The sequence below is a fragment of the Homo sapiens genome, chromosome 7 (genome assembly GCF_000001405.40).
Source record: "Homo sapiens chromosome 7, GRCh38.p14 Primary Assembly".
In the NCBI taxonomy this organism is placed as follows: Eukaryota; Metazoa; Chordata; class Mammalia; order Primates; family Hominidae; genus Homo; species Homo sapiens.
In genome coordinates, this window is record NC_000007.14 from 64,088,445 (window position 1) to 64,097,955 (window position 9,511).

A 9,511-nucleotide genomic window follows, 5' to 3' on the forward strand; every position below is an offset into this window, starting at 1 on the left:
TCTTTTAAAAGGCAGCCTCAGCCTGGTCACCCTGAACCACAATTTCAGGGTCTGTTTCAGCCTCCCAAAGTGCTGGGATTACAGGCGTGAGCACTCACACCTGCTCAGTGGTAATTTTGGATTTGCTAAATTTCAAAGATTAATCAGGGAGATGTGAGAAGGTGCCGAGACCAGCTCAGGTGGGGAGACCCTAACCCAGCTGTGCTAGAGGAATTAAAGACACATACACAGAAATATAGTGTGTGGAGTGGGGAATCGGGGGACTCAAAGCCTTCGTAGCTGAGAGCCCTGAATAGAGATTTGCCCACATATAAACCAGTGATAAGCATTGTTTCTACAGATTATAGATTAACCAAAAGAATTCCTTACGGGAAACAAAGGGATGGGCCGAAACAAAGGGATTGGCCTGGCTAGTTATCTGCAGCAGGAACATGTCCTTAAGGCACAGATCCTTCATGCTATTGTTTGTGGTTTAGGAACGCCTTAAAGCGGTTTTCCACCCTGGGTGGGCCAGGTGTTCCTTGCCCTCATTCCAGTAAACCCACAACCTTCCAGCGTGGGCATCATGGTCATCACGAACATGTCATGGTGCTGCAGAGACTTCTTTATGGCCAGTTTTGGGGCCAGTTTATGGCCAAATTTGGGGGCCCATCTCCAGCAGAAGTTGAGTGGAACACGTGCTAATTTATTTTTTTAGAGACAGTGTCTTACTCTGTCACCCAGGCTGGAGTGCAGTGGTGTGATCTCAGCTTACTGCAGCCTCAGTCTGGGCTCAAGATCCTTGTGCCTGAGCCTCATAAGTAGCTGGGACCACAGGTGTACACCAGCATTCCTGGCTAGTTTTTGTATTTTTTGTAGAGACGGGATCTTGCTATGCTGCCCAGGTTACAGATACAAATTTATATCAGGTGAAACCGAGAAACACATTATGTGCCCCTCATTCCTCCTGTTTGTAATTCCCTTCTTGCCTTTTCCCTTTTCATATGTTAGGTTTTGAGCTCCTTGGCCTTCTCTCTCTCTTTTTTTTTCTGCTTATGGAAAACTGTTACTGAGCTTGGGAATGTTGTGGGAGAAAGGTAATTTCAGGGGGACAAGAAAGAGAGGCTGGGCACGTGGCTCACGCCTGTAATCCCAGCACTTTGGGAGGCCGAGGTGGGTGAATCACCTGACGTCAGGAGTTTGAGATCAACCTGGTCAACATGGTGAAACCTTGTCTCTACTAAAAATACAAAAATTAGCCAGGTATGGTGGCGCATGCCTGTATCCCAGCTACTCAGGTGGCTGTGGCAGGAGAATCGCTTGAATCCAGGAGGTGGAGGTTGCAGTGAGCCGAGATCGTGTCATTGCACTTAAGCATGGACAATAAGAGTGAAACTCCATCTCAAAAGGAAAAAAAAAAAAAAAAAGAGGATATGTTTCTTCTTTTCAGAAGCTGCAAAGTGGTAGACACCATTTCATGTCATAAAATTGGTTCAAATAATCTTATCTGAATAAGGTGTGTAATTCAAATACTCATGAAATTTGTTCTGTTTTCTGTTGCTAAAAACGGTACTTGGGAACAAGATACTGAAACATGCAGGAAATGGATGAATCTCAAAAACATGCTGTGTGGAAGAAGCCAGACCCAAAAGAACATTCCATATCATTCTATTGATGTGAAATTCTAGAAACACCAAACCTAATCCACAGTGACACAGAGCAGATCGGTGGTTGCCTGGGTCAGGGCTGGAAGGTGGATTGACTGGGAGGGGTCAGAGGGAACTCCCTGGAGTAATGGGAAAGTTTTTTTTTTTCTTTTTTTTTTTTTTTTTTTTGAGACAGGGTCTCGCTTTATCGCCCAGGCTGGAGTGCAGTGGCTCGATCTCAGCTCACTGCAACCTCTGCCTCCCAGGTTCAAGAAATTCTCCTGCCTCAGCATCCTGAGTAGCTGGGACTACAGGTGTGCACCACCACACCTGGCTGATTTTTATATTTTTAGTAGACACGGGGTTTCACAATGTAGTCCAGGGCGGTCTCGATCTCCTGACCTCAGGTGATCAGCCTGCCTCGGCCTCCCAAAGTGCTGGGATTACAGGCACAAGCCACCACAGCAGCCTAGGGAAAGTTTTTTTTTGTTGATTTGTTTGTATTTTTGTATTGAGACAGGGTCTCATTGTGTTGCTCAGCCTGGAGTGCAGTGGCTCTGCCTCAACTCACTACAGCCTTCCTGACCTGAGCCTAAGTGATCCTTCCACCTCAGCCTCCCAGGTAGCTGGGACCACAGGCCTTTGCCAACATGCTTGGCTAAATTTTTAAATATTCTTTGTAGAGATGATATATGACTATATTGCCCAGGCTGGTCTGGAACTCCTGGGGTCAACAATGCTTCCACCTTGGCTTCTCAAAGTGTTGGGAGTATAGGCATGGGCCATCGCACCTGGCCTTAAATTTTGTTTGTTTGTTTGTTTGTGACAGCATCTTGATCTGTCGCCCAGGCTGGAGTGCAGTTTTGCAGTCATAGCTCACTGCTGCCCTCAACTCCTGGCTCACGTGATCCTCCTGCCTCAGCCTCCTGAGAAGCTGGGACCACAGGTGCATGCCACCATGCCTGGCTAATTTTTTTTTAAAAATTGCAGCCACGTATCTCCTCTGTTGCCCAGGCTGTCCTGGAACTCCTGGCCTCAAGCTGTCCTCCCGGTTCAGCCTCCCAAAGTTGGGATTACAGGCATGAGCCACTGCACCCAGTAGAAAGTTCTGTATCTTGATAGTGGCAGTGGGTACTGAGGTATATCCATTTGCTAAGCCTCATCAAACTGCACAAAGTGAGACCCTGTCTCAAAAAAAACCTATGCACTTAAAATGATGCATTTTATTGTATGTATACTTCAATAAAGTTTATTTTAAGTAATGAAACAACAGTCCATGGAAGTATTTATACAAAGGGGAGGGCGGTCTTTGAAGACATTCAGAATTAAGAGATTAGTTTTAGACCTTGCCAAAAAAAAAAACACCCCAAAACCAAAAAACCTTTAACCTCAAAAACCACGCAGGAGGGCGGCTGAGGCCAGAGGATCGGAAATGCCTGTTACTCTAATTGGATATTGTGCTTGATAATTGTTGTCATGGTATTGATATTAAAATATTAAATAGCAATTAAAATATCAAGTGACATCTCTGTAGATATAAACACGTGTGTGTGTGTGTGTGTGTGTGTATATATATATATATGGGCTGAGCATGGTGGCTCACACCTGTAATCCTAGCACTTTGAGAGGCAAAGACGGGAGGATCTCTTGAGGCCAGGAGTTCGAGAGCAGCCTGGTCAATATAGCAACACCCCATCTCTATTTTAAAAAAATCTGCGGTGAAACCCCGTCTCTACTAAAAATACAAAAAATTAGCCGGGCGTGGTGGCGGGTGCCTGTAGTCCCAGCTACTAGAGAGGCGGAGCTTGCAGTGAGCCAAGATCGTGCCACTCCACTCCAGCCTGGGCGACAGAGCGAGGCTCTGTCTCAAAAAAAAAAAAAAAAAAATCTGGCCGGATACGGTGGCTCACACTGGTATACCCAGCACTTTGGGAGGCTGAGGCAGGAAGATCATGAGGTCAGGAGATTGAGACCATGCTGGCTAACTCGGTGAAACCCTGTCTCTACTAAAAATACAAAAAATTAGCCGGGCATGGTGGCACACGTCTGTAGTCCACCCGCCTCGGCCTCCCAAAGTGCTAGGATTACAGGCATGAGCCACTGCACCTGGCCCTATATCCAGATAATTTTAAAAACATTTTGTTTTAAAACAAGACAGGCAGATCACCTGAGCTCAGGAGTTTGAGACCAGCCTGGCCAACATGGTGAAACCCCATCTCTACTAAAAATACAAAAATCAGCCAGGCATGGTGGCGCGTACCTGTAATCCCACCTATTCAGGAAGCTGAGGCAGGAAAATCACTTGAATTTGGGAGGCGGAGGTTGCAGTGAGCTGAGATTGTGCCAATGCACTCCAGCTTGGGCGACAGAGTGAGACTCCGTCTCAAAAAAAAAAAAAAAAAAAATAGCTGGGAGTGATGGCATGTGCTTTTAGTCCCAGCTACTTGGGAGGCTAAGGCAGGAGAATCACCTGAGCCCAGGTGGTTGAGGCTACAGTGAACTGTGATCCAGCCTGGGTGACAGAGCATGACACTATCTCAAGAAAAGTCTTTTCTTTTTATTATTTATTTATTTATTATACTTTAAGTTCTAGGGTACATGTGCACAACGTGCAGGTTCGTTACATATGTATACATGTGCCTGCCATATTGGTTTGCTGCACCCACTAACTCGTCATTTACATTAGGTATTTCTCCTAATGGTGGCACATATACACCATGGAATACTATGCAGCCATAAAAAAGGATGAGTTCATGTCCTTTGTAGCGACATGGATGAAGCTGGAAACCATTATTCTGAGCAAACTAGCGCAAGGACAGAATACCAAACACCGCATGTTCTCACTCAGGTGGGAATTGAACAATGAGAACACTTGGACACAGGGCGGAGAGTATCACACACCAGGGCTTGTTGTAGGGTTGGGGGATGGGGGAGGGATAGCATTAGGATAGCATTAGTAGAAGAAAAGTCTTTTCGAGTTAGTATGGCAGAGTGATTTAGAGTGACAGCATAAGCACTTGGAAACAGATTGATTAGGTCAAATTCCCAGTTCTGCATCTTACCAGCTCTGTGGTGTCAGAAAAGTTACTGAACCTTCATGTGTCTCAGTTTCCACATTTGAGAAATGGGAATAATAATAGTCCCTATCCTGTGGTTTGGTTATGGTTTGTTGTGTGGAAATTTGGTTCTCAGTGTTGGAGGTGGGGCCTGGTGGGAGGTGTTTAGGTCATAGGGGCAGATCTCTCATGAACGGCTTAGTGTCATTCTTGTGGCACTTAGTAATTCTCACTTTTTTTCTTTTTTTTTTTCTTTTAATTTTTTGAGATGGAATCTTGCTCTGTTGTCCAGGCTGGAGTGCAGTGGTATGATCTTGGCTCACTGCGACCTCCACCTCCCAGGTTCAAGCAATTCTCCTGCCACAGCCTCCCAAGTAGCTGGGATTACAGGTGCCTGCCACCACGCCTGGCTAATTTTTTTATTTTTATTTATTTATTTTGTTTGTTTGTTTTGTTTTTTGAGACGGAGTTTTGCTCTTGTTCCCCAGGGTGGAGTGCAATGGCACGATCTCGGCTCACCACAACCTCCACCTCCTGGGTTCAAGCAATTCTCCTGCCTCAGGCTCCCGAGTAGCTAGGATTGCAGGCATGCACCACCACGCCCGGCTTTTTGAGCCAAGGCATTTGAGACAAGAGCCAAGGAGTTTGAGACAGACCAGCCTGAACAACGTAGTGAGACTCCAAAATGTCACCAAAAATTTTAAAAATGAGCAGGGTATGGTGGTGCATGCTTGTGGTCTCAGCTACCTGGGAGGCTGAGATGGGAGGATCACTTGAGCCTAGAAGGTCAAGGCTGCAGTGAGACATGGTGGTGCCACTGTACTCCAGTCAGGGCACAGGTTGAGATCCTGTCTCCAAAAAACAAAAACAAAAAAGTAGGTTGGGTGTGGTGGTTCATGCCTGTAATCCCAGCACCGTGGGAGGCTGAAGCGGGTGGATCACTTGAGGTCAGGAGTTCGAGACCAGCCTGGCCAACGTGGTGAAACACGGTCTCTACTAAAAATACAAAAATTAGCCGAGCATGATGGTGTGCACTTGTGGTCCCAGCTGCTCTGGTGGCTGATGCAGGACAGTCACTTGAGCCCAGGAGGTCAAGGCTGCAGTGAGCTTTGATGATGCCAGTGCACTCCAGCCTGGGCAACAGAGTGAGACCCTGCCTCAAAAAGCTGCTACACTGGTACTAAACTACATAATTATGTAATCAAATTATTCTTTCTCAACACACATTGATATATTGATGAATATATGTGGGAGTTTTATTACTGAAGCATTTGTTTCTTTAGTCTGTTTGCTGTGGAACCACATAGCCTTCCTGGTGTGCTAAGATGTGAACTGAAGGCTGCGCGCAGTGGCTCATGCCTGTAATCCCAGCTACTCAGGAGGCTGAGACAGGAGAATCACTTGAACCCAGGAGGCGGAGGTTGCAGTGAGCCGAGATCGCGCTATTGCACTCCAGCCTGGGAGAAAAAGTGGGACTCCGTCTCAAAAAAACAAAACAAAACAAAACAAAACAAAACGAACAAACAAACAAAAAAAAAACGTGAACTGATACATTGGGCTGTGACTTCATGAAAAGATATTATCATTGTTTATAAACACAACAATTGTAATAACTTCTAGTGCATATAATTCTCATAAAAATGCAAACTCTATTTTTAAAAAGTTAGCCAGGTGTGGTGGCACGCACCTGTGTCTAACTACTCAGGAGGCTGTGGCAGGAGGGTTGCCTGAGTCCAGGAATTGGAGGCTGCAGTGAGCTAAGATCGTGCCACTGCTCTCCAGCCTGGGTGCCAAAGCACATCCCTGTCTCTAAAACAAGCAAACAAAAAAAAAATGCATATACCAAATGATTGAGGCCGTTCTGTTAGGAGTGATGCTACATTATAACTAGGTATCAACAAGAATGGAATTATATGCTTATAATTGCACTTCTCTGATGACTGGAATTACTTTACACACATTAGCTTCTAGGTCCATACATATCAAACGTTATTTCTCTTTTCTCTTTTTCTTTTCTTTTCTTTTCTTTTTTTTTTTGAGACAGTCTTGCTCTGTCACCCAGGCTAGAGTGCAGTGGTGCAGTCTCAGTTCACGGCAACCTCTGCCTCGGGTTCAAGCAATTCCCCTGCTTCAGCCTCCCCAGTAGCCAGGATTAGGTGCATGCCACCACGCCTGGCTAATTTTTTCTATTTTTAGTAGAGACAGGGTTTCGCCATGTTGGCCAGGCTGGTCTCAAACTCCTGATCTCAGGTGATCTGCCTGCCTCAGCCTCCCAAAGTGCTGGGATTATGGGTGTGAGCCACTGCACCCGGCCTTCAAACGTTATTTCTCCTCTACTACCCATATATATACATTTTTTTTAGACAAGGTCTTTCTGTGTCCTCCAGGCTGCATGCAGCAGTGTGATGACAGCTTACTGCAGCCTCAACCTCTCATGCTCAAGCGACCCTCCCACATCAGCCTCCTGAGTAGCTGGGACTACAGGTATGTGCCACCATGCCTGGCTAATTTTTGTATTTTTTGTAGAGATAGGGTTTTGCTGTGTTGCCTAGGTTGGTTTAGAATTCCTGAGCTCAAGCAATCTGCCCGTCTTGTCCTCCCAAAGTGCTGAGATTACAGATGTGAGCCACTACACCTGGCAAAAAAAAAAGGTAATTAAAAAAACAAAAAGAAAGTATTCTGCTTACCATGATCCTGGGAACTGGGACCCCTAAGTCCATCAGACCCTAATGTTATAAAGATTGGGAACACATTACAAAACTTAGCCAGGTATGGTGGCACATGCTTGGAGTCCCAGCTACTTGGGAGACTGAGGTAGAAAGATCATTTGAGGGCTGGGTGCGGTGGCTCACGCCTGTAATTTCAGCACTTTGGGAGGCCAAGGCAGGTGGATCACCTGAGGTCAGGAGTTTGAGACCACCCTAATCAACATAGTGAAGCCTTGTCTCTACTAAGAATACAAAAATTAGCTGGGTGTTGTGGCACATGCCTGTAATCCCAACTACTCAGGAGGCTGAGGCAGGATAATCGCTTGAACCCAGGAGGCGGGGGTTGCAGTGAGCAGAGATCAAGCCATTGCATTCCAGCCTGGGCGACAGAGCAAGACTCCATCTCAAAAAACAACAACAACAACAAAAAAAAAAACCATTTGAGCCCAGAAGTTTGAGACCAGACTGAGTAATAGTGAGACCCCATTTCTAAAATAAGTGTTTTTAAAAATTAGCTGGGCGTGGCAGGAGGATTACTTGAACCCAGGAGTTCACGGTTATAGTGAGCTATGATTGTGCCACTACACTCCAGCCTGAGCAGGAGACCAAAACTCTGAAAATGGTTCACCAGAAGAGATGCTCAGAGGACGCCTTTCCAGTTTTTTTTTTTTTCTTGGAGACAGAGTCTTGCTCTGTCACCCAGGTTGGAGTGCAGTGGCACAATCTCGGCTCACTGCAACCTTCCGCCTCCTGGGTTCAAACAATTCTAGTGCCTCAGACTCCCAAGTAAGTGGGACTCCAGGCATGCACCACCATGCCCGCCTAATTCTGTATTTTTAGTAGAGATGGAGTTTCACCATGTTGTCTAGGCTAGTGTTGAACTCCTGGCCTCAAGTGATATGCACACCTCAGCCTCCCAAAATGCTGGGATTCCAGGCATGAGCCACCACTCCTGGCCTCTACTTTTCTATTTCTACTCTCTTTGATTCCGGGTCTGTGTGATCCAGCTACCAGGGACACCAGTTGTCAGTGTGTACCACATCTTGGAGGGCAGCATCCCAGATCTGCAGAGGGTTAGCTTCAGGCTGGTGCATTCACCGAGCCTTTCAGGGCTGCCCCATCTTCCTACCAGGCTGCCCACTTCTTTTTCTTTTTTCTTTTCTTTTTTTTTTTTTTTTTTTTGAGACAGAGTCACCTCTGTGGCCCAGGCTGGAGTGCAGTGGCGCGATCTTGGCTCACTGCAACCTCTGCCTCCTGGGTTCAAGTGAGTCTCCTCTCTCAGCCTCCTGAGTAGCTGGGATTACAGGTACATGCCACCATGTCCGGCTAATTTTTTGTATTTTTAGTAGAGACGGGGTTTCACCATATTGATCAGGCTGGTCTCGAACTCCTGACCTTATGATCTGCCTGTCTCGGCCTCCCAAAGTGCTGGGATTACAGGTATGACCCACCGTGCCTGGCCTTAATTTTATTTTTTGTAGAGATGGGATCTCATCATGTTTCCCAGGTTGGTCTCAAATTCCTGTCTTTAAGTGATCCTCCCAGCTTGGCCTCCCAAAGTGCTGAGATTACCCATGCCCAGCCTTAATTTTTATATTTTGGTATTTAGTATTTTTGTATTTTTATTAGAGACAGGGTTTCGCCATGGTCTCGAACTCCTGGCCTCACGCAATCTGCCTGCGTCGGCCTCCCAAAGTGCTGGGATTGTATAGGCGTGAGCCACTGTGCCTGGCCAAATAAAGGGAAATCTTGAGTCTCTTTGTATTAGTCCTTTCTTTATTGCACTCAAAGAATAACTGGAATTGGGTAATTTATAAAGGAAAGAGATGTATTTGCTCACGGTTCTGCAGGCTGTACAGGAAGCATAGTGTTGGCATTTGTTTCTGGTGAGGCCTCAGGAAGCTTCCAATCATAGCAGAAGGTATAAACCAAAAAGTATCTGAGACAGGTCTTGATCAATTTAGACAATTTATTTTGGGCTGGGCGCTATGGCTTATGCCTGTAATTCCAGCACTGGGAGGCTGAGGCAGGTGGATCACTTGAGGCCAGGAGTTTGAGACTGGCCTGGCCAATGTTGTGAAACCCTGTCTCTACAAAAAATACAAAAATTAGCCGTCATCCT